Source organism: Homo sapiens, chromosome 3 (genome assembly GCF_000001405.40).
Source record: "Homo sapiens chromosome 3, GRCh38.p14 Primary Assembly".
NCBI lineage: Eukaryota > Metazoa > Chordata > Mammalia > Primates > Hominidae > Homo > Homo sapiens.
This window is the reverse complement of record NC_000003.12, coordinates 196,945,067-196,972,475: the sequence shown is the minus strand read 5'-3', so window position 1 is coordinate 196,972,475 and position 27,409 is coordinate 196,945,067. Positions and strand designations below refer to the sequence as shown.

At 50.2% G+C, this 27,409-nt stretch overlaps 2 protein-coding genes across 8 annotated transcripts, besides 13 other annotated features; one reads left to right on the top strand and one right to left on the bottom strand.

The window, feature by feature from the left end:
* Positions 1-664: 664 nt before the first annotated feature.
* On the bottom strand, positions 665-3,343 carry LOC124906255 (collagen alpha-1(I) chain-like). The gene is made up of 3 exons (XM_047449439.1): positions 3,227-3,343; positions 2,264-3,080; positions 665-2,175 (listed from the first exon to the last, which is right to left on the bottom strand). Exons 1-2 carry the CDS (start codon positions 3,341-3,343, stop codon positions 2,265-2,267), a joined length of 933 nt encoding a protein of 310 aa, XP_047305395.1. The 3' UTR covers positions 665-2,175; position 2,264.
* Positions 2,304-2,523: a silencer, noted in NCBI's record as "silent region_15079". NCBI's record gives its function as "represses an Ori minimal core promoter by ATAC-STARR-seq in GM12878 lymphoblastoid cells {active_cell/tissue: GM12878}" and the evidence as "EXISTENCE:reporter gene assay evidence [ECO:0000049][PMID:35858748]".
* Positions 2,304-3,023: a biological region, named in NCBI's record as "H3K27ac hESC enhancer GRCh37_chr3:196696353-196696888".
* Positions 2,459-2,994: an enhancer, noted in NCBI's record as "H3K27ac hESC enhancer chr3:196696353-196696888 (GRCh37/hg19 assembly coordinates)". NCBI's record gives its function as "activates a minimal SCP1, AML or CMV promoter by ChIP-STARR-seq in naive H9 embryonic stem cells {active_cell/tissue: H9 hESC(naive)}" and the evidence as "EXISTENCE:reporter gene assay evidence [ECO:0000049][PMID:30033119]".
* Positions 2,534-2,853: a silencer, noted in NCBI's record as "silent region_15078". NCBI's record gives its function as "represses an Ori minimal core promoter by ATAC-STARR-seq in GM12878 lymphoblastoid cells {active_cell/tissue: GM12878}" and the evidence as "EXISTENCE:reporter gene assay evidence [ECO:0000049][PMID:35858748]".
* Positions 2,964-3,023: a silencer, noted in NCBI's record as "silent region_15077". NCBI's record gives its function as "represses an Ori minimal core promoter by ATAC-STARR-seq in GM12878 lymphoblastoid cells {active_cell/tissue: GM12878}" and the evidence as "EXISTENCE:reporter gene assay evidence [ECO:0000049][PMID:35858748]".
* Positions 2,995-3,530: an enhancer, noted in NCBI's record as "H3K27ac hESC enhancer chr3:196695817-196696352 (GRCh37/hg19 assembly coordinates)". NCBI's record gives its function as "activates a minimal SCP1, AML or CMV promoter by ChIP-STARR-seq in naive H9 embryonic stem cells {active_cell/tissue: H9 hESC(naive)}" and the evidence as "EXISTENCE:reporter gene assay evidence [ECO:0000049][PMID:30033119]".
* Positions 3,134-3,193: a silencer, noted in NCBI's record as "silent region_15076". NCBI's record gives its function as "represses an Ori minimal core promoter by ATAC-STARR-seq in GM12878 lymphoblastoid cells {active_cell/tissue: GM12878}" and the evidence as "EXISTENCE:reporter gene assay evidence [ECO:0000049][PMID:35858748]".
* Positions 3,204-3,413: a silencer, noted in NCBI's record as "silent region_15075". NCBI's record gives its function as "represses an Ori minimal core promoter by ATAC-STARR-seq in GM12878 lymphoblastoid cells {active_cell/tissue: GM12878}" and the evidence as "EXISTENCE:reporter gene assay evidence [ECO:0000049][PMID:35858748]".
* Positions 3,474-3,923: a silencer, noted in NCBI's record as "silent region_15074". NCBI's record gives its function as "represses an Ori minimal core promoter by ATAC-STARR-seq in GM12878 lymphoblastoid cells {active_cell/tissue: GM12878}" and the evidence as "EXISTENCE:reporter gene assay evidence [ECO:0000049][PMID:35858748]".
* Positions 3,474-4,066: a biological region, named in NCBI's record as "H3K27ac-H3K4me1 hESC enhancer GRCh37_chr3:196695281-196695816".
* Positions 3,531-4,066: an enhancer, noted in NCBI's record as "H3K27ac-H3K4me1 hESC enhancer chr3:196695281-196695816 (GRCh37/hg19 assembly coordinates)". NCBI's record gives its function as "activates a minimal SCP1, AML or CMV promoter by ChIP-STARR-seq in primed H9 embryonic stem cells {active_cell/tissue: H9 hESC(primed)}" and the evidence as "EXISTENCE:reporter gene assay evidence [ECO:0000049][PMID:30033119]".
* PIGZ (phosphatidylinositol glycan anchor biosynthesis class Z (Gwada blood group)) lies at positions 3,643-26,120 on the top strand. Of its 7 annotated transcripts, XM_047448993.1 has the most exons (5): positions 3,643-3,789; positions 4,703-6,308; positions 6,676-6,809; positions 20,445-20,655; positions 23,791-26,120. In XM_047448993.1, the coding sequence occupies exons 3-5, from the start codon at positions 6,693-6,695 to the stop codon at positions 25,317-25,319; spliced, it is 1,857 nt and encodes a 618-aa protein (XP_047304949.1). In that variant the 5' UTR covers positions 3,643-3,789; positions 4,703-6,308; positions 6,676-6,692; the 3' UTR covers positions 25,320-26,120. The 7 variants fall into 7 exon arrangements, with proteins under 7 accessions (XP_047304949.1, XP_011511494.1, XP_024309535.1 ...); XM_011513192.3 differs by lacking the exon at positions 4,703-6,308; XM_024453767.2 differs by having other exon boundaries at positions 4,703-6,809.
* Positions 20,824-21,118: a silencer, noted in NCBI's record as "tiled region #11589; K562 Repressive non-DNase unmatched - State 22:ReprW". NCBI's record gives its function as "represses a minimal TATA promoter and a strong SV40 promoter by Sharpr-MPRA in K562 cells {active_cell/tissue: K562}" and the evidence as "EXISTENCE:reporter gene assay evidence [ECO:0000049][PMID:27701403]".
* Positions 23,645-24,392: an enhancer, noted in NCBI's record as "H3K27ac-H3K4me1 hESC enhancer chr3:196674955-196675702 (GRCh37/hg19 assembly coordinates)". NCBI's record gives its function as "activates a minimal SCP1, AML or CMV promoter by ChIP-STARR-seq in naive and primed H9 embryonic stem cells {active_cell/tissue: H9 hESC(naive and primed)}" and the evidence as "EXISTENCE:reporter gene assay evidence [ECO:0000049][PMID:30033119]".
* Positions 26,121-27,409: the final 1,289 nt, after the last annotated feature.

Below are 27,409 nucleotides of genomic sequence, written 5' to 3'. Positions count from 1 at the left end.
CAAGGCGGATGGATCACAAGGTTAGGAGTTCAAGACCAGCCTGACCAACATGGTGAAACCCCATCTCTCCCAAAATACAAAAATTAGTTGGGTGTGGTGGCGCAAGCCTGTAATCCCAGCTACTCAGGAGACTGAGGCAGGAGAATCACTTGAACCCAGGAGACGGAGGTTGCAGTGAGCCAAGATTGCACCACTGCACTCCAGCCTGGGCGACAGAGCGAGACTCCATCCCAAAAAAAAAAAAAAAAAAAAAAGTCTGGGTGTGGTGGCTCACGCCTGTAATCGCAGCACTTTGGGAGGCCGAGGCGGATGGATCACGAGGTCAGGAGATCGAGACCATCCTGGCTAACACAGTGAAACCCTGTCTCTGATAAAAATACAAAAAAAATAGCCGGGCTTGGTAGCAGGCGCCTGTAGTCCCAGCTACATGGGAGTCTGAGGCAGGAGAATGGCCTGAACCCGGGAGGCGGAGCTTGCAGTGAGCTGAGATGGTGCCGCTGCGCTCCAGCCTAGGCTACAGAGCAAGACTCCGTCTCAAAAAAATTAATTAATTAATTAATTAAATAAATTTTTTTAAAAAAAGACTCACCATGCAACCAAGCCATCCCGCCTACTTCCAGGCATTTTATCCGAGAGAAATGAAACATATGTATATTCAAAAAACTTTCTAGGAAGGCTCAAGTCAGTTTTATTCACAATGCCTTCAAACTGGAAACAACCCAGACATCCAACAACAACCCCGCATCCTCCTTTGGGGTCCTGAGAGGGTGCCTCCCCACCAGCCCAGCTTGGCCAACTTTAGTCCATCCATCAATGTCCAAATGGACAAACAGCCTGTGGCATATCCATACAATGGAATACTACTCACCAGTGGTAAGGAGGGAACTTGATACACACTTTAGTAAATACCTGAAATTTTAGGTTGCTTCAGTATCCATTTTGAATATAGGGTTAACAATTTCATACTAGAAGCAGGGCTTAGTCACCTTGGATACAGTTTCCAGCTCTCTGCTGGAAACAGTATCTCAACACATTCCGTCCAGATATCTGGTCCTAGGTAGCCACCTCCTGGTAACTGCCTCCTTGTGGGATGTATACATACAACCAACTAGACTCACCCCACTGACGCCCACACCCTGCATGGACTATGCAGATATGTCTCAGTGACCACCCCTAAGTCACAAGGTGGCCCCACAGGACTCCAGTTCGCTCCTCTAGGTGAACCAATTAGAGCTCCCCTTGGGAAAACTGCTTGAGTAATGCCCTGCACTCCAATAAAAGCCTCAGCCCACAGGTCCGTCTCTCTCTGGCTCCCCCCACCCCCACAACGATTGTGTACAGTGTCCCCAAGACATTCCCGACGGCCCTCAGTGTGCCCTCTTCCCCTGTGGATCTGTAAGTAATAGGACCACTTCTGTTAGTTCCTGTGTTTCGTTGTGTTGCCTGCTCTGTGTCATGCCTGACTGAGACGCTCAAACGTAACGTTTTCCCTGGTCAGGGCTTTCCCTAGAGAGCAGCTATCTTGGTAGGAATAAACTAGATACAGGTCAGACAAGAAGCACAAGGAGATCTGCCAGGATAAATATGTCTCCTGGGAGAGGGACACCCGGTCACAGGTCAGCCAGGATACAGAGGTGCCCCATGAAAGGCCCACGGCAAACACCCACGCCCAAATCCCAGGAGCCCTGTCAGGGCAGAGTTGGCCTTTACAGTGGCTCTCCAGGGAGGTCTCAAGACCAAGGTAGAGGAAAATACAACACACACACGCCACACGGGCGACGCTCAGCTGCATGGTGCCAAGCGAAGAAAGCCAGGCACAAAAGACCACACGGTGAATGGTTCTCCTTGCATGCAATTGCGAGAGAGGCAAAGGGCAGTGACAGAAATCAGAGGAGCAGTTGTCTGGAACCAGGGCGGAGGGGAGGTGAGGGGTTAGCTGCAGAGGGGCAGGAGGGTACTTTTGGGAGGAGAGGACTTCTTGAACTCGGGGGGAGACTAGCCTGGTGGTTTCGCGTGTCAGAAGTCATGGAACTGAGCCGGGCATGGTGGCGGGGCCTGTGGTCCCAGCTGCTCGGGAGGCTGAGGCAGGAGGATCGCTGGAGCCTAGAAGTTCAAGGCTGCGGTGAGCCGAGATCGTGCCACCGCACTCCAGCCTGGGCGACAGAGACCCTGTATCTAAAAAATAAAGGAAAAAATTCATGGAACTGTATACTTCCATGTACTGTACTTAAATTTCCTGGTATTTATCGTATGTATAGAATACCTCACATCTTAATAAAGTCGTCGTTTTTAGTGTGAGGGGTGCTATGGGGCACGGAGGGCGATCCGGCTGCCGACCCTCGGCGGCGGCGCGGGAGTGCGAGGCCGGCGGGGAGGTCGGGTCCTGCGGCCTCGCCGGGGCCCCTGCAGCGCTCTCCCGCCAGGGGGCAGCGTCGGGCCGGCGGCGCGGGCGGGAAGCTCCAGCGGCCGGGACGCGGTGGTGCCGTCTTCCCCCTGCGGTGAGGGACCGCGTCGCGCCACCCCGCTCTCAGCGCAGCCCGCAGCGGCGAGGCCACCGGGTGGGACACGGGTGCCCGCGCGTCGCGCCGCAGCTCGCGGGGACCTGGCGCCCCGTCCCGGGAGGGGATCTGGCCCCCGGGCGCCGGCTCTCCGTCCACGCGGCGTCCTCCCTGCAGCCCGCTAGGGCCGCTCGCCCGTCGCCGCCTGCGGAACGCGGAGGGGCAGCACGGCCACGCCCGGCCACTCGAACCTGCTCCCCGGCGCCGCGTGACCGTGTCAGGTCCCCGTCGGCCTCGCCGTGCCGACCCCGGGCGCCTCCACAGTGGCTCGGAGGCCGCTGCTGCCCGGATGCCCGGGTTCCACGAGGCTCTCCCAGCCCGACAAGCCCGCCGATCCCACGGGCACGGGCGGAGGAGAGGGAACCGCCGCGCCCGCCCCGCGCGCCGTCGCCGACCCCGGTGGGTCGCGCTTCCCCGCGCACGCCGCGCTCTGGCGCGGGGAGAGGCCCCTCGGGGTCCGCCCGGGTCAGCGTCCCGCGGGGGTGGCGGCCGTTCGCTCAGCCTCCTCTCGACTTCCCTTTCCTGTCAGGGCTGCTGGGGCTGACAGGCTCCCGGGCAACCACGCCGGGGAACCCCTCACGCCCGCCGATCGCTGCGGGGCTCAGCAGCCGCCCCGTGCGCTGAGTCCCCTGTCATGAGTGACTCCATTGCGAGGCGTTTCGGGCCACGAAGCAGGACCGGGGGCCGCACTCCGGGTCCCCGCCCTGCCCTCGCCGACCTCCCGCGCGTGGAAGGGGGACGGCGGCGGCGGAGCTCCCCGCCACGGAGAACCCCGAAATGGTCATTTCGAACGAGAGGAGTGTGGCCTGGGGTGTCTGGTTTAACAGCCCCCCGCGCCGAAAGGCTGTTCGCCGAGGAGGGGCCGCCGGGGAGGGAGCCCGAGCGCGGCGGGGCGAGACCGGTCCCCGCCCGGCGTTGCCCGGCCCGAGGGACGGCGGCGCCCCCAGGACCCTCCCCAGCGCGGCCCCAGCTCGCTCCGGGACCGCGGGGCCAGGCCGGGCGGGAGCGCGGGGACGTACACGGCGGCCCCGCCCGCGCGCTCCTCCTCCCTCCCGGCCCGCCCTGCGCCGGCGGCGGCGGCCCCAGTCTCCGCGCTGCTGAGGCGCGCCCGGCCGCTCCCACGGCCTCCCCTCCGCCCTGCGGTCCCGCCGCCTCCGGGGCCTCCTGGGACCCTGGCCCTCGCCGGGCAGGACGCCGCCAGCGCTGAAGGCGCAGCCCGGAGGCCGCGCGGGTGAGTCGGTGCGCAGCCCCAGCGGCTCCAGAGGAGCGGGTGCGGGGAGGGCGAGCGGACCAAGTCGGCCGCGTTCCCACCTTGCGCGCAGCCGGGAGACCAGCAGGCCCAGCCTCTAGGGAGGAGGGCAGGGGAGCTGGGGGCCGCCCCCCGCATTCTCGCAGGCACCTGTCCCTAGGCCGGGGTCCGCTGGCTCGAAGCACTGACCCGCCCCGGACCTAGGGGGACGGAGGCAGCGGTGACATTTGCCCAGGAAGGGCGGCAGTGGGTAAACTCCACTCCAGGGCACGGGTCTGGGCGCAGGTTGAGGCCTGGGGTTGAATCTGCTTCTGCTAGAGGCCAGTGTTCTCAGGGAGGCCCATAACCCGACTGGGTCTCAGTTCCCCCTGGTATGAAACAGCAACAGGGCAAGAGGAGGAAACCATGCCACGCTGCAAAGCTCTGAGCACGAAGCCGAGAAGAATCTCGGCTCCCGGCCTCGGGGGCTGCACTTCGGGCCAGGCCTGCACTCCCAGGATAAGAGGATGGCCTCCTGCCCCAGGGGTGGCATGGGGGCGCGCAAAAAGCAAAGGTGACCCTGCCAGGGAGCACCCAGCGCTCCGGTTGGTGGTCATGGGGTCTTTGCGTGGGACTCACAGTGTGGCCGGGAAAGTTCTGTAATGAGGACATTTCTCATCATTCCTTCTTCTCAAAAGTCATTCGTCAGCCCCAGACACCTTTGCCTCGGAAAACTGAGAACTACTTTCAAAATCGTCAACACCCCCATCTCCTGCTACAGAGCGGAGTCCCCACTTTGCAGAGGCGCACTGCAAGGTCGCGGGTGGTTAAATGGTGCGCCCTCCTTGATGAAGATGCCTTGTTCTCTTTCACTCTCTATGTGTGTTTAATGTTGTGTGTTGCGTTCTCTGTGAAGCGAAGGATAAACACGGGCCCTTTCAGGCAACCGAAGGAAGAAGGCGGCCAGCATCAGATCTTCCCGTGCTTCAAGGTGGAGCACCCTGCAGGGCTTACTGCAGCGCTCAGGGTCAAAGTGAGGATGCAGTGCGGCACCAAAAGGCAAATGGACTCTGGAGAGCCACTCTCACCTTGTACCCCTGGAGTAGACCCCGAGGACTGGAGGACTGGAACAAGATCTTAGTCCTGAGGGCGGGAGAAGCAGCCTTTGGTGGTTGCACAGGGGCCCGGCTTTTCCCGAAGTCTTAAAGCCTGCTCCAAATGCCAGATTCAGACAAAGGGGCCGAACCTTGGGCCCGCCGCCTTCTCCCATAAGCGGCAACCCAGCAGCTTTGCCAGGAAGTTTACATGTGAAGGTACGGACCTTTCTTGGAATGAGCCACACCTGATGGCCCTGCCACTCCGGACGGCGCTCGTTCACGGCTGTCCCTGGAGCAGACACGGTTCTGCGCACACACCTGGGCGCCGGAGAAACAGGGCACCCAAAGCGGGCCCAGGCCCTCGGACTCAGCGAGCTGGACACGTGTCCCCATCACCCGCGGCTGGCGGGAGCAGTGTTTCTACTCCCTTCCCTCCCCTCCTCCCGCCCCGCAGATGTGCTGTCTTTCCCGGCCTCCCCCCGCGCCCAGCACAGTGGTTTCTGCTTGGCTGTTCCCCTGTCTCTGAGATGGTCTCTCCCTGCTGCTTGCCCTACACATTCTCCCACACAGGCGCGCGGGATGCCCCTGTCGGCGTGGTTGTCAATGCCTGCTCCCCTGCCCCCCAGTCCAATCTCCACGACTCTGGGCCCTGTCGCTTCATCCTAAAGCCTTCCGCTCACGAGCCCTCCCGACGACCGACCCCCAGGAGGCTACTGGAGATGCAGGATTTGGACCCGTGCTGGACCCGCACCCGGACAGATCCCTCTGAATGAATGAATGAATTAATGAGCAGGCTGCATCCTGATTAGGTTAAGGTGGGTGGTTGCCATGCTTGGCGTTGGCTCTGTCCCCTGGGATAAAAGGCGAGAGGCAGCCACATGGACAGCTCCTCCAGTGGGGTCTCAGACTGGAGAGACGCCAGCGGGCGGGGGTCGTTCCCTGGAGCTCCCGCATTTGTTATGGTCGATGCCCCACTACGTTGTCACCTTCTCCGGAGGACCTCCTGCTCTGTCCTTGACAGATGGGCCCCAGTGGGCCCACCCAGGCTGGAGATGAATCTCAAAGGGACTCCATGCCTGGGAGACCTCAGCCAAGCAGGGCAGAGAAATAATCAGACAACAGTCAGCGCATGGCGCCTGCAGAGTTTTGCACAGGGTCCTTCAGAAGGAGGGTTAGGGAAGACTTCTTGGGGGTTAGGGCAGTTAAGCAAGATGGATAAAGAAAGCAACCACTTATGTCTGCATATTTTCTTCATTTCATCTTCACAACAGCCCTGAGATAGGTACTTGTTTTAAAGCTGAGGTATAAATTGGGGTTCAGAGAGATTGAGTGCTTTCACCATGAACAAGTGACAGAGAGCAACGACTTGAACCGGGTTACCTGATGCCACCGCTGGTCTTAACCTCCATGTTATTAGCGTATTGGGTAAGTGAAACCGTGTGAGCCAAGAAGCTGGGGTGAGAAACAGCACGGAATAGAGGAGAGGGCTGCAGAAAGGCGTGATGTTTCTGGAGCACCGAATTCTACTCACGAACACAGGAGTGGAGGCGGGAAGGGGACACTGGAAGCTATGGAGGGCCTTGTCAGCCACAGTAAGGAATGTGGACCTGGTCCTCAGGGTGGTGAGGGGATGGCCCCCCATCCAGAGGTTTCTCACAGGGGAGTGATTCGGCCTGTCTCTGCCGCAGTCAGAAGGAAGGATGCAGTGAGAGAGGGAAAGTGGAGAGGCGGATGGCGGTGCAGTCTACTCCAGGTCATGCTTCTTACCATCTCCCTCATTATTCATCCACAGAAAATGATTGCTGTTATATGACACACTGGTTAACAAAGGAGGGGGCTGTTTGCAAACAGAAACAACCAACCCAGGGCCTCCAGCCATCCAAAGATTCTGCACAGCCAGCCACCCCTAAGGCTAAGAAATCCCAGGTACATGCACACCAGTCACAGCATACCTGGACTCAGACAATGACAGTGGAGAATGAGGAACAAGAGCTGGGTTCAAGGAATAATTAGCAAGCAACGTTGGCATTACGTAGTGCAGGGACAAAGGAGGAGGGAGATAGCCCGTGGGATTCTGGACTAAATTGGGCAAATGGTATGACATGGTTAGGCTTTTGTGTCCCCGCCCCAATCTCATCTTGAATTGTAATCCCCAAGTGTTGAGGGAAAGACCCGGTGGGAGAGGATCGGATCATGGGGTGGTTTCCCCCACGCTGTTCTTCGGATAGTTAGGGAGTTCTCATGAGATCTGATGGTTCCATAAGCGTCCGTCATTTCCTCCACTCACACTCTCTCTTGCCACCTTGTGAAGAGGTGCCTGCTTCCCCTTCCGCTATGACTGTAAGTTTCCTGAAACTTCCCCAGCAATGTAGAACTGTGAGTCAATGAAACCTCTTTTATTTAGAAATTGCCCAGTCTTGGGCAGTTCTTTATAGCAGTGTGAGAATAGATTAACACAGTAAATTGGTACCAGGAGTGTGGGACACTAATACATGGTAGTTTCCTCATTGCTGTAGGGAGCATGGGGACAGGGCTCATTCCAGGGAAGGTGATGAGTTCTTTTGGGCTGCCCTGTGTTTGAAGCAGGTACAGAAGCCTAACGGGCAGTGGAGCAGGGCAGTGGAGTCAAACAGACCGGGTCCATCTTCCAGCTCCACCAACTTAGTAGTTCCGTTACCTTTTGCAAAAAGCCTGTTCATTTGTGTGTAAGACAGGGATAAGAATAGGTTCATAGAGGCTGAGGTGGGAGGATTGCTAGAGCCTGGGAGGCAGAGGTTGCAATGAGCTGAGATCATGCCACTGCGCTCCAGCCTGGGTGACAGAGTGAGACCCTGTCTTAAAAAACAAAAAAAAGGATAGGGTTATAGACTTCCCATAATTAAATAAGATAAGGTACAAAGCCTGGAAGGTAATATGTATCTAATAAATGGCAGTGCTAGACTGGGCACGGTGGCACACGCCTGTAATCCCAGCACTTTGGGAGGCCGAGGCAGGTGGGTCATGAGGTAGGAGTTTGAGACCAGCCTGGCCAAGATGGTGAAACCCCATCTCTACTAAAAATACAAAAATTAGCCAGGCGTGGTGATGCGTGCCTGTAGTCCCAGCTACTTAGGAGGCTGAGGCAGAAGAATCGCTTGAACCTGGGAGACAAAGGTTGCAGTGAGCCAAGATCGTGCCACTGCACCTAGCCTAGGCGACAAGCAAGACTCCATCTCAAAAAAATTAAAAAAAAATGGTAGTGCTAGGCCGGGCACGGTGGCTCATGCCTGTAATCCCAGCACTTTGGGAGGCCGAGGTGGGCGGATCACGAGGTCAGGAGATCGAGACCATCCTGGCTAACATGGTGAAACCTCGTCTCTACTAAAAATGCAAAAAATTAGCCGGCCTGGTGGCAGTCGCCTGTAGTCCCAGCTACTTGGGAGGCTGAGGTAGGAGAATGGCGTGAACCCGGGAGGTGGAGCTTGCAGTGAGCTGAGATTGCACCACTGCACTCCAGCCTGGGCGACAGAGTGAGACTCCGTCTCAAAATAAATAAATAAATAAATAAAAATAAAAATAAAAGCAAACAAATAAAAAAAGGTAGTGCTATTATTATTGTTATACTATTCCTTATTATTATCAGTAAATCCGAAGCTCAGAAAAGAAGCAATTTCAGAAGGCATCAAGTAGAAATGGAAACCATGAGAATAAATGAGATGATCCAAAAGAGTGTATATGGAGGACATTGAAGACCAGGAACATTGACATTTAAGGGGTGGACAGAGGAAGAGAAGCCTAAGAACAAATGGCCTGAGGAGGAGGAAAGCTGTGAGAGCCCGTGGAAGCCACGTGTAGCAGCCACACAGCTAGCTGATCCTCTGCCTCCTTCCTCCTTCCTAACAGAACCTGTTGTTAGGGTAAGCTCCCACAGTGCCAGCTCCAACCCAGGAGGTGAGTCTTCATCAGTAATCTCATTTCCCTTGCCAGTGACTGGTTTGGGAAGGTGTATTTGATGCAGTTCTGTTCAACAGCACTTGATAGAAAGTCTGCTGGTGAACTTCTGGAAAAGATTTCCTTGATCTTAAAGAGAAATGCAGGTGCAAATCAAAACCACAATGAGATACCACTTCACACCCACTGAGATGGATGGAACCCAAAAGTCAGATAACAAGTGTTGGTTAGAACCGTCATACATTTCTGGTGGGAATGTAAAATGATACAGCCACTTTGGAAAACAACCTGGAAGTTTCCCCAAATGATTAAACATAAAGTTACCATAGGATGCAGGGACTTTACGTATATACCAAGAGAAATGAAGACATATGTCCACGAATAAACTTGTACACAAAAGTTTATAGTAGCACTGTTTACAATAGCCAAAACATGGAAACAACTCAGAGGTTCATCAATGGATGAATGGGCACACAAAATATGGTATATCCACACAATGGGATATCACTTGGCCATAAAAAGTAAGGACGTAGTGATACCTGCTACAACACGGACGAACCACGAAAACATTCTGCTAAGTGAAAGAAGCCAGCCACAAAGGCCTCCAGAGACTGAAGGGGGCCTGCCCCTCCACACCTGTGGGTATTTCTCGCAAGGTGGAGACGAGAGACTGAGAAAAGAAATAAGACACAGAGGTAAAGCATAGAGGAAGAAAAGTGGGCCCAGGGGACCGGCACTCAGCAAGTGAGGACCTGCACCGGCACTGGTTTCTGAATTCCCTCAGTATTTATTGATCATTATCTCTACTATCTCAGTGAGGGGGATGTGGCAGGACTATAGGGTAATGGTGGAGAGAGGGTCAACAGGAAAACATGTGAACAAAAGACTCTGTGTCATAAATAAGTTTAAGGAAAGGTGCTATGCCTGAATGTGCACGTAGGCTAGATTTATGTTTAACTTTACATAAACATCTCAGTGCAGTAAAGATCAGTATTGCCGTGCAGTAAAGATCAGTATTGCCACCAGCATGTCTCACCTCCAGCCATAGGGCGGTTTTCTCCTATCTCAGTAAATAGAATGTACGATCAGGTTTTACACCAAGACATTCCATTCCCAGGGGATCATGAGACAGATGCTTTCCTCTTAACTGCAAAGAGGCCTTCCTCTTTCAGTAATCCTCCTCAGCACAGACCTTTTATGGGTGTCCGGCTGGGGGACTATAATGTAAGGTCTTTCCCTTCCAACGAGGCCACATCTCAGGCTGTCTCAGTGTGGGGAAGCCTGGACAACACCCAGGCTTTCTTGGGCAGAGGTCCCCATGGCTTTCCACAGTGCATTGTGTCCCTGGGTACTCAAGACTGGAGAATGGCGATGACCTTTACCAAGCATACTGCCTTCAAACACATTGTTAACAAAGCACATCCTGCACAGCCCTAAATCCATTAACCTTGAGTCAATACAGCGCATGTTTCTGTGAGCACAGGGTTGGGGCTAGGGTTACAGATTAATAGCATTTCAAAGCAGAAGAATTTTTCTTAGTACAGATCAAAATGGAGTTTCTTATGTCTTCCTTTTTCTACATAGACACAGTAACAGTCTGATCTCTCTTTCTTTTCCCCATACAGACCTTACGATTTCATTCATATGGAAGTTCAGGATAGGGAATTCTATAGAGACAGAAAGAAGATTAGTGGTTTCCAGAGTCTGGGGTGGTGGACAAGGATGGGAGGTGATAACTAAATGATATGGGGTTCTTCTTGAGTGATGAAAATTTGTAAAACTGACTGTGGTGATGGTTGCACCTGTCTACGAATATACCAAAAACCATTGAATTGTACACTTTAAAATTATACGGTATATTAATTATATTTCAATAAACCTGTTTTAAAAAGAGATAGCCTCAAAAATACAGACACTTCTCAGTTTGTCATGTCTGGACGAGATGGCTGGAACTGAGGATTATGTCCACACAAAGAGAAAGGCAGCATCAAGGCTGACCTGAGAAGCGGCAAGGGACCCTGGCAGTACCAAGTCTGGTTGTTTTTTTATGTGACATGATCAATTGTTTCCTGCTTTTTCTTTTAAGAGATGGGGGTCTCGCTGTGTTGCCAGGCTGACCTTGAACTCCTGGGGTCAAGCAATCCTCCTGCCTCTGCCTCCCAAGGAGCTGGGACTACAGGGGTGCACCACCACACCTGGCAACATGATGAATTGTTGAAGCAGCTTGCATTGTTTTTGCTGTTGTTGTTTGCAAACAACTAAATGTTTTATGCAAAAAGGAGTTAATATAGGGAATTAGCTGCTTACAAAACCTTTGGAAGGGTTGGGTGATCAAGCTCTAGGCTGAATCCCCAGGAATGACTCCTAGAACACTGCAAAACTGACCAATGGAGCTACTACTTCTGTCCCGTATCAGGAAAGTGAGGACTCAGGAGACCAGCACTGGAACTATTGCATTCAAGAACACAGCACTTTAATTATGACTCAGGGTTAGAAAGCCATTGCCCAACCACCACAGCCGCCTGTCAGCAGCACCCAACGAAGCCGGTGAATGAGCATGGAATACTACTTCAGAAACTGTATCCATCTCCTATACCTTACTCGCTAGAAGGAAACAGTCAAAGCAGCAGGAAGATGGTATTTATTTGACTTCCACCTTCCACATGTCTCTCATTTAATGACCAACTTATTTTGCTCTTTATTCCTACTTCCGTCTCAGAACTTCTATCTGGAACCATTTTTCCTTCTGCCTGATATATATTCTTTATAATTTTCTGAATATCTGCTTGTGAAGAACTTTCAGTTTTGGTTTTCTTGAAAATATCTTTATTTTGTCCTTGTTCTTGAAAGATTTTTTTCTTTCTGGGCATAAAGGATAGGCAGGTAGTTGTTTTCTTTTCTTTCTTTCTTTCTTTCTTTCTTTCTCTTTCTTTCTTTTCTTTCTTTCCTTCCTTCCTTTCTTCTTTCTTTCTTTCATCTTTTTTCTTTTTTTTTGAGACAGGTTCTTGCTCTATCGCCCAGGATGGAGTGCAGTCATGCAATCTCGGCTCACTGCAACCTCTGTCTCCCAGGTTCAAGCAATTCTGCCTCAGCCTCCTGAGTAGCTGGGATTACAGGTGCACACCACCACGCCCAGCTAATTTTTGTCATTTTAGTAGAGACAGGGTTTCACCATGTTGGCCAGGCTGGTCTCAAACTCTTGACCTCAGGTGATCCACCCGCCTCGGCCTCCCAAAATGCTGGGATTAAAAGTGTGAGCCACCGCTCCCAGCCGTTATTTTCTTTTAGCAAATGAATATTGTCATCCTTAAGGGCCTATTGGCTACAGCCACTTCTGATACCAAATGGTGAAGGTTCAGTACAAGAAATAGAAGCCAGCAGAAAAGGAATTTGATACAGGCAAATAGGTAGTAAAAATCATTCGGTACACTGAAAAATGACCTCTATTTGGGCCTCCAGGAAAATCTCTCTGAACACCCAGAAGTAACTCCATAAAGGAGCGACCACTCCTGTAACAGTCAGGCTACTGTAAAGCCACCTGTAGAACTTAGCTGGGTTTTGTAACACAGTACTGTGGCCACCATAACTGCAACTGTGTCCTCCATTCCCACAAAGTGGGGACTGGATAGTGGAAAGCTGATGCACGAACATCCCATGTCTTCAATGATCTTGTTTCCCAGGAGAAAACAAAGAAAACTGCAAAAAATATGGCCTGTCTCACATCTGCTTTCTAGATTCTGAAAACCTAATTTGCATAACCCAACTTCAAGAGTGTCCACAAAATGTAGCTTTTTGTTTCCTACCCCTCACAGTACAGTAAGACACCCTAGAAGGAGCTAGGAATAGTGGAAGGATCCCTGCTGTCAAATGGCAGGCAGTGTGGGGGGCCTGAAGTGGCCAATGGTTTTGACAACGCGGAAGCCAAGGAGGCGAGAGCCCCCTCTCTAAAAAAAATTGAAATTAAAAAGCGAGGAGTGAATTCAGTGAATGCAGATGGTTTGAGGATCCCTGTGAAGGGAGGAGGAGGAGAGAAAGGTAGTAGTAGAAGGAGGGGACATACAGTTTCAAGGGAGTTTTGGTTGGTTGTTTTTCTAAGAATGGTAGAGAGATGAACGTGTTTATTAATGGAAAGGAAGGTGTCAACCAAAGAGAACAGAGGGAAGGAGTAGATGCATGATGGAAGGAGAACTTGCAGCTGGTGGGAGGGGATGCTCATGATATATGGAAAGATGGTCATACTTTCCTATGTGACAAAACAAATTTTAAAGCAAACATTGTATGATCCCCTTCCATTTACAAATATATAATAGATACATTGAAAATACTCACTGAATGGTCAGACATCCCTTATAGAGACAAAACTCAATTTCAATGTTGCAAAGCTACACTACTGAGATGGAGCAGCCCCAGGCAATGGCACAGGCTTGGGCAGGGGTGTGTAGTAACTGGAGGGCAAAATAAGAGTGGGCGAGGGTGAGATAGAGGACAGCAGAGCCATGCTATCGAAGGCCACATGCCCATGAGACTGGCTTGCTCCATAGCGGAAGTCATGATGCCAACTTGCCCACCTTCCCATACGCTGAGGAACAGCCTGCCATCCGTTCTTCTGGAGCCCAGCTCAGAGACCTAGGTATAGCATCCTCCGTTCCCACTCACCCTCAGCAGATGCCTTCAGCAGTTGTGGAGATATACAAGTTCCCGCATAGTAGTTTTGAGACACATCCTGTGATAGCAACACAATCCCCTCATGTTTCCTGCCCCCCTCCCCCAAATCATGACCAGAAGGATCCGCTGACCAAGGCTGTCCCTTAAATATATGACTTCCTTGAGAATAATTTGACACGGCTTAAACTAATTTAGCTTTTCTCAATCCCTGTCTTAACTCTCAACATGACTATTTCTCATGCCAACATTATGCCAAAGTGTAGATATATAAGAATAAACAAATATAATCCTATATTTTCCAAGAAAATCATATATCAAAATGTTAACAGTGTTTTTTGTTTGTTTGTTTTTTGTTGTTTTTTGTTTTTGACGAAGTCTCGCTCTTGTCCCCCAGGCTGGAGTGCAGTGGCGCGATCTTGGCCAACTGCAAACTCCGCCTCCCAGGTTCAAGCGATTCTCCTGCCTCAGCTTCCCCAGTAGCTGGGATGACAGGCGCCCGCCACCACGCCCTGCTAATTTTTGTATTTTTAGGAGAGACGGGGTTTCACCATGTTGGCCAGGCTGGTCTTGAACTCCTGACCTCAGGTGATCCGCCGGCCTCAGCCTCCCAAAGTTCTGGGGTTACAGGCGTGAGCCACCATGCCCGGCCTAACAGTGTTTTTTTGAGTGACAGGAACTGCATGTAATTTCCATTTTCCCTTTTTGGCTTATTGCACTTTTTACTTTTTCTACAACAATTTTGTATTATGTTTATGAATAGAAAAAAAAAATAAAGGTTGTTAAACAGGACACAAGTGGAAAGTTGTCCTTGAATTATAAAAGGAATAAAGTGCTGAAAATAACTAAAATGCTGGATAAAATAGTATGTAAGCCGAAGAAAATGTAAGTAATACTTGGGCATGAAGACAGGGACTTAGAGAGGTATGCAAAGCCAGGAGCCAGGTTTGGAGTTGAGGATACATACAAAACTGTGAATTTGAGAGCCTCCTTGGCTTCCTCATTATCCAAACCACTGGCCACTTCAGGCCTCTATATTGCATGCCATTTGACAGCAGGGACCCCTTCCACTATTTCTATCTCCTTCTAGGGTGTCTTATTGTACTGTAAAGACTAGGAAACAAAAAGCTATTTTTTGTAGATACCCTCAAAGTTGGGTTATGCAAATTAGGTTTTCAGGACTTGGTAGCTTCTCGGGACTAGCAGGACAGAAGATAAAGCTTACTGCCCACCCGGAGGGAAGCCTAACAGGAGACTCCCCGCAAAACTGTGACTCTGGAGGGCCACGTTCTAATATAAAGGTGGCCTAAGAAATAAATTTGGCCGGGCACAGTGGCTCACGCCTGTAATCCCAGCACTTTGGGAGGCTGAGGCCGGCGGATCACGAGGTCAGGAGTTCGAGACCAGCCTGGCCAACATGATGAAACCCCGTCTCTACTAAAAATACAAAATTAGCTGGGTGTGGTGGCATGCGCCTGTAATCCCAGCTACTCAAGAGGCTGAGGCAGGAGAATTGCTTGAACCTGGGAGGCAGAGGCTGCAGTGAGCCGAGATCATGCCACTGCACTCCAGCCTAGGTGACAGAGCAAGACTCTGTCTCGGAAAGAAAAAAAAAAAAAGGAAGAAAAAAATTATTCCATCCCTACAGGACTGAAAGGAAAACTGCCCTTGTTGGATCCTGATGCTAATCAAATTGAGCTGGGGGTGGGCTATCTCCCTTCAGAATTTGTAATCATGAGCCTGCCCTCATGAATTTACATGACCAGGCACTATCCCCCTTCCTAAAAGATAAACACATACACACACACACACACACACACACACACACAAAACCTGGAGCCAAAAATTTGATTAGAAATGGTCCTAGGCTTGTAATGCCCACAGTTACCTGAGAGAAGCAAGTGTAAATCCCTTCAAGAGGAACTAAGAAATTTGCCTCATCCCTGACCTCAAAGAATTCCCACAGTAATATTCCAAAGAAAATGAGATAATTCACTAAATAAAATAATTCACTAACTATACAAATAAACAGGGCACTATGAGTGAGATCCAGCAGAAACAAGACAGCAGATTCAGATCCAGACTTTAGATGCTGGAGTTATCAAACCTAGTATATCCAACAAGTATGTTTGATATCATTTAATAAATAAAAGAGAGTCTTGAAAATATCACAAAAGAGCAAGCAGATGTGGAAAAAAATCAAACAACTTGTAGAAATGAAAAATATAACAACTGAAATTTAAAACTCCATAGACAGGTTTAACATCTAGATACAGCTGAAAGGATGATTAGAGACATGGAAGATAGAACAGAACTTACCCGACATATAGCCAAGAGAGCTAAAGATATGGAAAATATGAAATAGAACTTAAAGAGACATGGAAGATAGACTGAGAAGGTCTGTGATATGGTTTGGCTGTGTCTTCACTCAAATCTCATCTTGAATTATAGCTCCCATAATTCCCACATGCTGTGGGAGGGACCTGGTGGGAGATAATTGAATTATGGGGGTGGTTTCCCTCATACTGTTCTTGTGGTAGTGAATAGGTCTCACGAGATCTGATGGTTTTATAAGGGGAAACCCCCTTTGCTTGCGTCTCATTCGCTTGCTTCTCATTCGTTTGCTTCTCATTCGCTTTTTGCCTGCTGCCATGTAAGACGTGCCTTTGCCTTCCACCATGATTGTGAGGCCTCCCCAGCCATGTGGAACTGTGAGTCCATTAAACCTCTTTTCCTTTATAAATTACCCAGTTTCGGGTATGTCTTTATCAGCAGCATATAGTCTAATGAAGGATTACTTTCTATAAATGACAAAGGGTCCTAATCCACAGGTTCGAGAAGCCAAAAAACTTTCGACTATAATAAATAAAAAGAAATGTGCACCCAGAATAATCATAGTGAAGACACATAACATAGTATACTAAATATTAAAATATTAAATAATATATGGTATTTTATAGCATATTGGAAACTGAGTATATGTAACTTCCAAACTGTTAGAGAAAAGAGAAAAAAAACTAATTCAAAAGAAGGCAAGAAAGGACAAAAAAAATTGAAAAAACAAGACAAGAAAACACAAAATAAGATGGTATAAATAAATGTATCAATAATAACCCTAAATTGGCCGGGCGCAGTGGCTGACATCTGTAATCCCAGCATCTTGGGAGGCTGAGGTGGGCAGATCACCTGAGGTCAGGAGTTCGAGACCAGCATGGCCAACACGGCAAAACCCCGTCTCTACTAAAAATACAAAAATTAGGCAGCCGTGGTGGTGCGCACCTATAGTCCCAGCTACTCGGGAGGCTGAGGCAGGAGAATCGCTTGAACCCAGGAGGGGCAGAGGTTGCAGTGAGCCAAGATCATGCCACTGCACTCCAGCCTGGGCAGCAGAGCGAGACTATCTCAAAAAAAAAAAAAAAAAAAAGAAAGAAAGAAAAGAAAAGAAAAGGCTGGAAAATGATGTACCAGGTAAATACTAAGTTTCCAAAAAGTGTGTATAGCAACAGTAATATCAGAAAAAATATATTTTAGGACAAAACAGAACTAGAGATTAAAAGATTACTATATAATGATAAGATATTCAATTTTCCAATAAGGCATAACAATTATAAACTTCTACAAATATAATAATATAGCTTCAAAAATGAACTAAAATTGACAGAATTACAAGGAAAATTAGACAAGTCAACTATTTCATGAGCTAGTTCAACACACATTTCTGTGATTGATAAAATAAGCAGTAAAAAATCAATAAATTAAGAATATAAAAGATTTGGGCCAGGCAAGGTGGCTCATGCATGTAATCCGAGCACTTTGGGAGGCCAAGGTGGGAGGATTGCTTGAACGCAGGAGGTCAAGACCAGCCTGGGCAACATAGCAAGACTTTGTCTCTACAAAAAATTTAAAAATTAACCAAGGATGGTGGCACATACCCGTCTTCCTAGCTACTCAGGAGGCTGAGGTCAGAGGATCGCTTGATCCCAGGAGGTCGAGGCTACAGTAAGCCATGATCGTGCCACTGCACTCCAGACTGGGCAACGCAGTGAGACCCTATCTCAAAAAAAAAAAAAGATTTCAACAACACAACTAATAAGCTTGATCTAATGACAACTTATAGAACTCCATATCCAGTAAGTATAGAATGTATGGTGTTCTCAAGCATCCATGGAATATCTACAAAAATGACCATTAAAAATTAAATCCTTCAACCATAAGGCATTTGTGGAGGAAGAAATTACAATGGCAATTAGAAATATTTAGAACCAAAAGTTGATGAAATTATTACATAGCAAAACTTGCAGTGTACAGTTAATACTAATTTAGAGAAAACTGTGTGGCCTTCAACACTTCTCATAGAAAATAAGGCTCCAAATTAACGAGCTGTGCTCATAGCAAAAAATCTGAAATAAAACAATGAAATAATCACCCAAAAGAGTAAAAGGAAAGAAAAAATAAAGATGAGCAAAGAAATTAAAAACAAGGGCAAAAGTTGATGTTTTGAAGAAATTCGCAAAATCAACACAATTCTGGTGACGATTATAAAGAAAGAAAAAAGAATGCACAAGTAAACCAATATTAGGAATAAAAATCAGTTTAGAATATAAGCTACAGTACAAACTACAGTTAGAAGATTTAATTTCTAATGTTTGATAGCAGAGTAGGGTAACTATAGTTAACAACGTTTTCTTTTTAAAAAAAACTTTTTATTGATTGATTGAGACAGAGTCTTGCTCTGTCCTCCAGGCTAGGGTGCTGTGGTGTGATCTCAGCTCACCACAACCTCCACCTCCTGGGTCCAAGCAATTCTCATGCCTTAGCCACCCGAGTAGCTGGGATTACAGGTGCACACCACCACACCTGGCTAAATTTTGTATTTTTTTGGTAAAGACAGGTTTTTGCCATGTTGGCCAGGCTGGTCTCAAACTCCTGACTTAAAGCAATCTGCCTGCCTCAGCCTCCCAAAGGGCTGGGATTCCAGGTGTGAGCCACCGCACCTGGCTTTTTTTTTTTGACAGGGTCTTGCTCTGTCACCTAGGCAGAAGTGCAGTAGTGTGATCATAGCTCTCTGCAGCCTCAAATTCCTGGGTTCAAGTGATCCTCTTGTCTCAGCCTCCTGAATAGCTGGGATTACCAGCACACACCACTGTGTCCAGCTATTTTTTCGTAGAAATGGGGATCTCACTTTGCTGCCCAGGCTGGTCTGACCTCCTGGTTTCAAGCGATCCTTTCATCTCAGCCTCCCAAAGTTCTGGGATTATAGGTGTGAGCCACCTGACATTACACCTGAGAGCAAGAACTATTTAAGGTCAGAATTTAAAATATCAAGAAGTCAGGGCAACATCACTATTTCTGGAGGAGGGACAAGCAGGTTGTCAAGCTTGCTTTCCTGTTCAGCAGTGATGCTGTGGACTTACAGATCCAGCATGCCATGGGCTCAGATTGTCACTGCTCTTTGAGTTACATAGAAAACTTCTGAGATGCAGTTAATACTATATTTGAGTTGAGGGAGTTAGGATTCTCATCATATAGAGTTACAAATGTTCCCATCACCTTCCAAAAGGCAGGTTCCAGGGTGTGTGAAAGTTGGAGGGAGTGACTGGAAACAATGGGGTTGAGTGTAATTTTTGCAGGGAAATGGGTGGCATCCGTTGACTTTCCCAAGTTTTCAGAAATGCAAGAAGCAGCCTGCCATACTGGCCTGTGGATAGGAGCTGGTGATCAGGATGGGCTGCAAGACCCAGATTTGTTGGGTACCCTGATCTTCCTTGCAAATGTCACATTGAGCAAATGTCATATTTAGACCCTGTATAAGTCAGGATTCTCCAGAGAAACAGAAACAATAGGGAACTGGCTTTATCATTTACTATGAAAATTAGCTCATGCAATTATGGGGGCTGGTGAAGTCCCACAATCTGACACCTGCAAGCTGGAGAACCAGGAAAGCTGGTGGTTGAATTCAGTCTGAGTCGGGAGCCTTAGAAACAGAGGAGCCTACAGTGTAACTCCCAGTCCTAGTCCGACGGCCTGAGAGCTTGATTCAGGGAGGTGGGTTGGGGCACACTGGTGTGAGACATAGAGTCTGAAGACCCAAGAACCAGGAGCACCGATGTCTGAGGCAGGAGAAGATGGCTATCCCAGCTGAAGAGAGTGCAAATTCACCCTTCCTCCACCTTTCTGTTTTATTCAGACCCTCAATGGGTTGGATCATGCCCACCCACACTGGTGCAGCTGATCTTCTTAGTCTACCAATTCAAAGGCTAATCTTAGCTGGGCACGGTGGCTCACGCCTGTAATCCCAGGAGTTTGGGAGGCCAAAGTGGGCGGATCATGAGGTCAGGAGTTCAAGACCAGCCTCACCAACATGATGAAACCCCGTCTCTACTAAAAATACAAAAATTAGCCGGGCGTAGTGGCGTGTGCCTGTAATCCCAGCTTCTCAGGAGGCTGAGGCAGGAGAATCACTTGAACCTGGGAGGTGGAGGTTGCGGTGAGCCCAGATCATGCCACCGCACTCCAGCCTGGGTGACAGAGCAAGACTTCGTCTCAAAAAACAAACAAACAAAAAAACCACAACAAAGGCTAATCTCTCCCTGAAATACCCTTATAGACACTGCCAGAAATAATGTTCTACCAGCTATCTGGGTATCTCTTAGGCCAGTCAAGTGGACACATAAAATGAACCATCAGACTCCTTAGCAAATATGATCAGCAAGTAACCAAGTTACTCAGCAGAGGCCTCCGTTTCCCCATCTGTACAACAGGGATCCTAAGACCCACTGCTCCAGACTGTGGAAAGGATTAAATGAAATATGCATGTCACGTGCCTGGCAGTTAGTGGGCATAGAGTATGAAGTAGCTATTATTATTATTGTCATTTTTATTAAATGACAGATCCATTTTCAGTTTGTTCAGACAGTTGAATATATTATAATTTACATCGTGATAACCAACAACTGTTATCCTCAACAGATGCAGATCTGTGGATCCAGCGTAGCATCTGTAGCAGCTGGGACATCATTCCAGGTTTTGGGCCCGGTGTGTTGGCAACAACTGGATCTGAAGATGGCAGTCAGGGTGCTTTGGGGTGGTCTCAGCCTGCTCCGAGTGCTGTGGTGTCTCCTTCCGCAGACGGGCTATGTGCACCCAGATGAGTTCTTCCAGTCCCCTGAGGTGATGGCAGGTAAAACTCCGCATGTGTGGCTGAGACAAGCTGCAGCAGAGTCTGCTTGAGAAGCTGACGGGAGACTTTGTGGGGAGGGAGTAGCATGTCTGGGTAGATGAGTAGTAAATCCACAAGCAGAGCAGCAGCCTCTCTCTCTGGGGTAAGAACTTGGAAGTGGGGACTTCATATCTCCTTCCCGAGTGGTGACACTGACCTTCTGGGTAATGCTAATAAACCACCAGTCTCTTTGATGTATCCCTGCTTGGACCAACAATACAGGTCATTCAGAATGAGAGCTGTGTTGGACTTCCCATGGGAACACTTTTATTAGAGTTAGGCTTCCCCAGTGTTTGGCAAGAGCTTCCATAGGGCTGTGATCTGAGATCATGAAACTTCTCTTCTGTAGATTCAAGAGAGGGGTAAGGGAACCCAGACCTGGGACACTCACTCATCTGTTAGGCGGTGTGGGACACATCATGAGGCTGGTTGCCTGGCCCATACCGTCTCGCCCAAAGGCCTTGAGGCCTTTCAGATGTGATGGGCATGTGGGGTCATCCTCATAGTTCAAGACGGCTGCTTGAGCTCCAGCCATCAAGCCTACAGGCAGTCTTTCCAGCCAACAAAGGAGAAGGGCATTACTTCTCTCTTTAAGGTCATATTTTGAAGGGCGCATGCTTTTTGCTCATTTCTATCACACTGGGCAGAATGTATCATGAGGCCACACCTAGCTGCAAAGGAAGCTAAAAATTATAGTCTTTATATCTGACCAAGTGCCCAGAAAAAGAGTCAAAGGAGTCAGATGCAGTGGCTCACGCCTGTAATCCCAGCACTCTGGGAGGCTGAGGCAGGTGGATCACCTGAGGTCAGGAGTTTGAGACCAGTCTGGCCAAAATGATGAAACCCCATCTCTATTAAAAATACAAAACATTAGCCTGGCATGGTGGCAGGCGCCTGTAATCCCAGCTACTTGGGAGGCTGAGGCAGGAGAATTGCTTGAACCCAGGAGGTGGAGGTTGTAGTGAGCCAAGATTGTGCCACTGCACTTCAGCCTGGGCAACAGAGCGAGACTCCATCTCAAAAAAAGAAAAAAAAAAGTCTAATGAAGGAGGAGGGAATAGATATTTTGGAGGCATCAGCTTTCTTTGCCACAGGGCTCAACAGGTGAATTTGTTTTTTAAGTTAAAAGGCTCATCTTCTTTCCCTCACGTCGTTTTTTAACCAGAAAAGCAGCCAGATAGATTTGATCCTGGATTTTGCTTCCCTTTCAACATCTAACATAGATAGATAAAACAGCTGAAAGTCTGGAGAAATAAGTAGCAGAATCAAAGAGCCCGAATGATCCGCAGGCTGTATGATCAGCTCGAAACAGCCAGCAGGTGATCAAGCAAGAGACGCTGTGAACAATGAGGCTTGGAGTGGAGCTGCTCCCGCGCCCCCACCCCTCAGAGCTCTGGGACGTTGGGGCACAGGGTTACAGAACAGGCAGCAAGTATTTCTTAAATTATGTAAGTACTACTTGGATATATTCTTCTTACAAAAAATTTAAGTATCATAGGCAGGGTGCAGTGGCTCACGCCTGTAATCCCAGCACTTCAGGAGGCTGAGGCGGGTGGATCACCTGAGGTCAGGGGTTCAAGACCATCCTGGCCAACATGGCGAAACCCCATCTCTACTGAAAATACAAAAATCAGCCAGGCACAGTGGCGGGCGCCTGTAGTCCCAGCTACTTGGAGGCTGAGGCAGGAGAATCACTTGAACCCCAGAGGCAGAGGTTGCAGTGAGCCAAGATAGCGCCACTGGACTCTAGCATGCGTGACAGAGTGAGACTCTGTCTAAAAAAAAAAAAATTTAAGTATTGTAAACAAAACTAACATAAATCACCTCTGACATAACCCTGATGGCTCATCACCTACCCCTCTTCTCTCCCCCCATCTCCTGATAACAATCATTATCAGAGATGCGGCTCTGTCAAGCTTGACAGGTGTAAGGACAAGGGTGCTTGTCCTTGGCTTTTGAGATCTTGGAACCCTGAGAAGAGGTTAGGCCTCCCCCACCTGCCCGCCTCCCACACACTCTTCCCAGGACACACTGCCACCTCATCTCCCGGGGAAGCCCCTCCTGCCCTCTGCACTCTGAGCTCCCCTGCACTTGCTTCTGCTGCTCCTGACAAATCCTCAAAATCCTACGAGCAGCTCAAACTGCACCCGTCTGTGAGTTCACAGTTCTGTCCATCAGAAGGGCAGCACGGGCTCTCTGCTCACAAGGTGGACATCAGCGTATGGACTGGGCTGAGTTCTTGTCTGGAAGCTCTCTAATTCTAGCAGAATCTAGTTCATTTCAGCTGTGGAACCTATGGTGCGGCTTCCTTGCTCTTAGCTTTCAGAGGCCACCCACATTCCTAGCCAATGGCCTCTTCCGTCTTGAAGCCAGCAGTGGCATGTCAAATCCTTCTCATGCTTTGAATCTCACTGCCACTTCTGCGTCCAGCTGGTGAAAACTCTGTTATTAAAAGATTGTTGTGATTAGGTCCGGCCCACTGCATAGTCTCCCTATTTTACAGTCAGTGCTCCTGTATAAGTAACCTAATCTCAGGATACAGTCCATCCTGCGGGCCAGGTGCAGTGGCTCAAACCTGTAATCCCAGCACATTAGGAGGCTGTGCTGGAAGAATGGATTGAAGCCAGGAGTCTGAGATCAGCCTGAGTAACATAGCGAGAGCTGTGATCTCGCCACCGCACTCCAGCCTGGGTGACAGAGATGAACGAAGCGAAGGAAGGGGAAGGAAGGGAAGGGAAGGAAGGAAGGGAAGGAAGGGAAGGGAGGGGAGGGAAAGAGAAGTAAAGGGAAGGAAGGGAAGGGAGGGGAGGGGAAGGGAAGGAAGGGAGGGGAGGGGAAGGAAGGGAAGTAAAGGGAAGGAAGGGAAGGGAGGGGAGGGGAAGGGAAGGAAGGGGAAGGAAGGGAAGGAAGGAAGGGAAGGAAGGGAAAGAAGGAGGGAGAGAGGGAGGGAAGGGAGGAAAAATCCAGCCCGTGCACAGTCCCAGGGATTACGCAGGGCACACACACCAAGGGGTGGGAAATGTGGGGTGCCCTCCTAGAATTTTGCCCACTACATCCCTGAGCTTGGTACTGGCTCACCTCTGCCTCTCTCTGCAGAGGACATCCTGGGCGTTCAGGCCGCGCGGCCCTGGGAGTTTTACCCCAGCAGCTCCTGCCGCTCGGTGCTCTTCCCCCTGCTGATCTCTGGTTCCACCTTCTGGCTGCTCAGGCTCTGGGAGGAGCTGGGGCCGTGGCCTGGCCTGGTGAGCGGCTATGCGCTGCTGGTGGGGCCTCGACTCCTCCTCACTGCCCTTTCCTTTGCTCTGGACGGGGCCGTGTACCACCTGGCCCCGCCGATGGGGGCGGATCGCTGGAACGCCCTGGCCCTGCTGTCTGGTTCCTACGTCACCCTGGTCTTCTACACAAGGACCTTCTCCAACACCATTGAGGGACTCCTCTTCACGTGGCTGCTGGTGCTGGTATCCTCCCATGTAACGTGGGGCCCTACACGCAAGGAGCCGGCGCCGGGTCCACGGTGGCGCAGCTGGCTTCTTGGAGGCATTGTGGCTGCTGGCTTCTTCAACCGGCCCACCTTTCTGGCCTTTGCTGTGGTCCCCCTCTACCTCTGGGGCACTCGTGGAGCCACAAACCCTGGTTTGAAGTCTCTGACCCGGGAGGCCCTGGTGCTGCTCCCTGGGGCAGCCCTCACAGCAGCGGTGTTTGTGGCCACGGACAGCTGGTATTTCTCCAGCCCCGCTACATCCAGGAACCTTGTCCTGACACCTGTCAACTTCTTGCACTACAACCTGAATCCCCAAAACCTGGCGAGACATGGCACGCACGCGCGGCTCACTCACCTGGCAGTCAACGGCTTCCTGCTCTTCGGGGTGCTGCATGCCCAGGCCCTGCAGGCTGCGTGGCAACGGCTGCAAGTCGGCCTCCAGGCCTCTGCACAAATGGGCCTCCTGAGGGCACTGGGTGCCCGGAGCCTGCTGTCCAGCCCCAGGTCCTATCTCCTTCTCCTCTACTTCATGCCTCTGGCCCTGCTATCTGCCTTTAGCCACCAGGAGGCTCGGTTCCTGATTCCCCTCCTGGTCCCCCTGGTCCTGCTTTGTAGTCCACAGACGCAGCCTGTGCCTTGGAAGGGCACTGTGGTCCTCTTCAACGCCCTCGGTGCCCTCCTCTTCGGCTGCCTGCATCAGGGGGGCCTGGTGCCTGGCCTGGAGTACCTGGAGCAGGTGGTCCATGCCCCTGTGCTCCCAAGCACACCCACCCACTACACACTCCTCTTCACTCACACCTACATGCCCCCCCGGCACCTCCTACACCTCCCAGGCCTGGGGGCACCAGTGGAGGTGGTGGACATGGGGGGGACTGAGGACTGGGCCCTGTGCCAAACCCTGAAAAGCTTCACCAGACAACCAGCCTGCCAAGTGGCTGGTGGGCCATGGCTCTGCCGCCTCTTTGTGGTAACCCCTGGCACCACCAGGCGTGCCGTGGAGAAGTGCAGCTTCCCCTTCAAGAATGAAACACTTTTATTTCCCCATCTGACCCTGGAGGATCCACCAGCCCTGTCCTCCTTGCTGAGTGGGGCTTGGAGGGACCACCTCAGTCTTCACATTGTGGAGCTGGGGGAAGAAACCTGACAATATGACAGAGCACCCACTGCCCAAGACTCAGCCATAGAAGATGCCGCCCCACCTTCTACTTGGGTAGCTGGGCTGGGACGCTGGGACAGGACCCCGTCCTCCTTCATGACTCCCACTGCTGCCTCTCCTGGGCATGGCTGTTAGCTGTTCTGCCTTCTGGGTGAGCTGGCACTCTTCTCCCTGAGACCAAAGATTTGACCTGTCGGTCTTGATGTCAAGGTCCCCAAAGACCAGGTTAAGTGACGACACCTGTCTGTTCCTGCCCTGTTGCTTCCAGCCACTGTGATGTTTGAAATATGTGATAGTACCTGGTTGTGAAAAAAGACAATGAACTGCTAGTGACATTCCTCAATGACCTCTCCCAAACCTCCCATGATGCCTTACCCTTGCTGTCATGACAACCCTCTGGCTTCCTAAGACCCATCTGCCTATCGAAATATGTGCAAGTCAGTGAGACGAAGTATAGAGAACAGGTGGCCCAGATCCAGGGGACCCAACTTCTGGCCCCTTGGTCTGTCACCTCCTCGCTGTGTGATCTTGAGAAAGCTCCTTCCACTCACCCACCCCACTTCCCAGTCTGTTGGGATCAGAGGAACTTTGAGGTGTCTGCCGGCTAACATTGTGTCATTCCTGGAGTCCACAGTACACGTCCCCTGCCTCAACAGGCACAGCTCTCACAAAGCTCTTCAAGCATGGAAGTGGGAGTTGTGTTGTACTTCATGGCACTCTGATGCCTGCTGTCTCAGTGTTTGGTTATTATGCAAACAAGTAATGTTTGAAATATATAATAGCACTGGAGATTTTCTCCCTACTTTCTTTTACTCCTGTTCCTGAGAGGTGGTGGGAAACTCTCCAGCCATTTCTGCACCTTGTCCTTAAGAGTCATTCTCCTGGCTGGGCATGGTGGCTCACACCTGTAATCTCAGTACTGAGAGGCCAAGGTAGGCAGATCTCGAGGTCAGGAGTTCAAAACCAGCCTGGCCAACATGGTGAAACCCCATCTCTACTAAAAATATAAAAATTAGCCAGGCGTGGTGGCACGCACCTGTAATCCCAGCTACTCAGGAGGCTGAGGCAGGAGAATTGCTTGAACCCAGGAGGCAGAGGTTGCAGTGAACCGAGAGCCACTGCATTCCAGCCTGGGAGACAGAGCAAGACTCCGTCTTGGGGGAAAAAAAAAAAAAGGGGGTCATTTTCCCAGATTAGGGAGCCAGGTGTTCTTCCTCCTTAGAACTGTGGGTCTCAAGCCCTCCCATCCTGCCCCAGAGGGCAGAGAACACACAACACTCAGCTAGTGTCTGGTTACCAGCCTCAATTTTTCCGATGGCTTCAAGCTTTCTAGATTGCATGATTAACTGTGCTGCCTAACTAGAAATGATCAGAGCTGGGTGTGGTGGCTCACACCAGTAATCCCAGCACTTTGGGAGGCGGAAGCAGGAGAACTGCTTGAGGCCAGGAGTTCAAGACCAGCCTGGGCAACAAAGTGCAATGCCATTTCAACCAAAAACAAAACAAAACAAAATTGTGGCTGGGCGCGGTGGCTCACACCTGTAACCCCAGCACTTTGGGAGGCCGAGGTGGGCAGATCACAAGGTCAGGAGATCGAGACCATCCTGGCCAACGTGGTGAAACTCCGTTTCTACTAAAATACAAAAAATTAGCCAGGCATGGTGGCACGCACCTGTAGTCCCAGCTGCTCAGGAGGATGAGGCAGGGGAATCACTTGAACCCGGGAGGTGGAGGTTGCAGTGAGCCGAGATCGCACCACTGCACTCCAGCCTGGTGACAGAGTAAGGCTCCGTCTCAAAAAAACAAAAAAAACAGAAAAAAAGTTTTTAATTAGCTGGGCATAGTGTCATGGGCCCGTAATCCCAGCTACTTGGGAGTCCCAGGGAGGAAGATCGCTTGGCCCAACGGGTCGAGGTTGCAGTGACAGCTAGTATTGTGCCACTGCACTCCAGCCTGGGCAAGAGTTAGGTCCTGTCTCAAAAAAAAAATCAGAAATTTAGCTAGGAGCTTCAAATGACAGGACATTTCTATATACAATGGATTTCCTAATCGCAGGTCTGCTAACTGGCTGGATCGTA

Bases quoted from the DNA above. Each gene is read 5' to 3' on its own strand.
- LOC124906255 (XM_047449439.1), bottom strand. From the start codon at position 3,343: ATGACCATTTCGGGGTTCTCCGTGGCGGGGAGCTCCGCCGCCGCCGTC. The intron at 3,081-3,226 runs GTGGCCCGAAAC...CAGCCCTGACAG, and splicing joins GCGGCCCCCGGTCCTGCTTC to GAAAGGGAAGTCGAGAGGAG.
- PIGZ (XM_024453767.2), top strand. From the start codon at position 6,615: ATGGCGGTGCAGTCTACTCCAGGTCATGCTTCTTACCATCTCCCTCAT. The intron at 6,810-20,444 runs GTACATGCACAC...TATCCTCAACAG, and splicing joins CTAAGGCTAAGAAATCCCAG to ATGCAGATCTGTGGATCCAG. The intron at 20,656-23,790 runs GTAAAACTCCGC...CTCTCTCTGCAG, and splicing joins GTCCCCTGAGGTGATGGCAG to AGGACATCCTGGGCGTTCAG.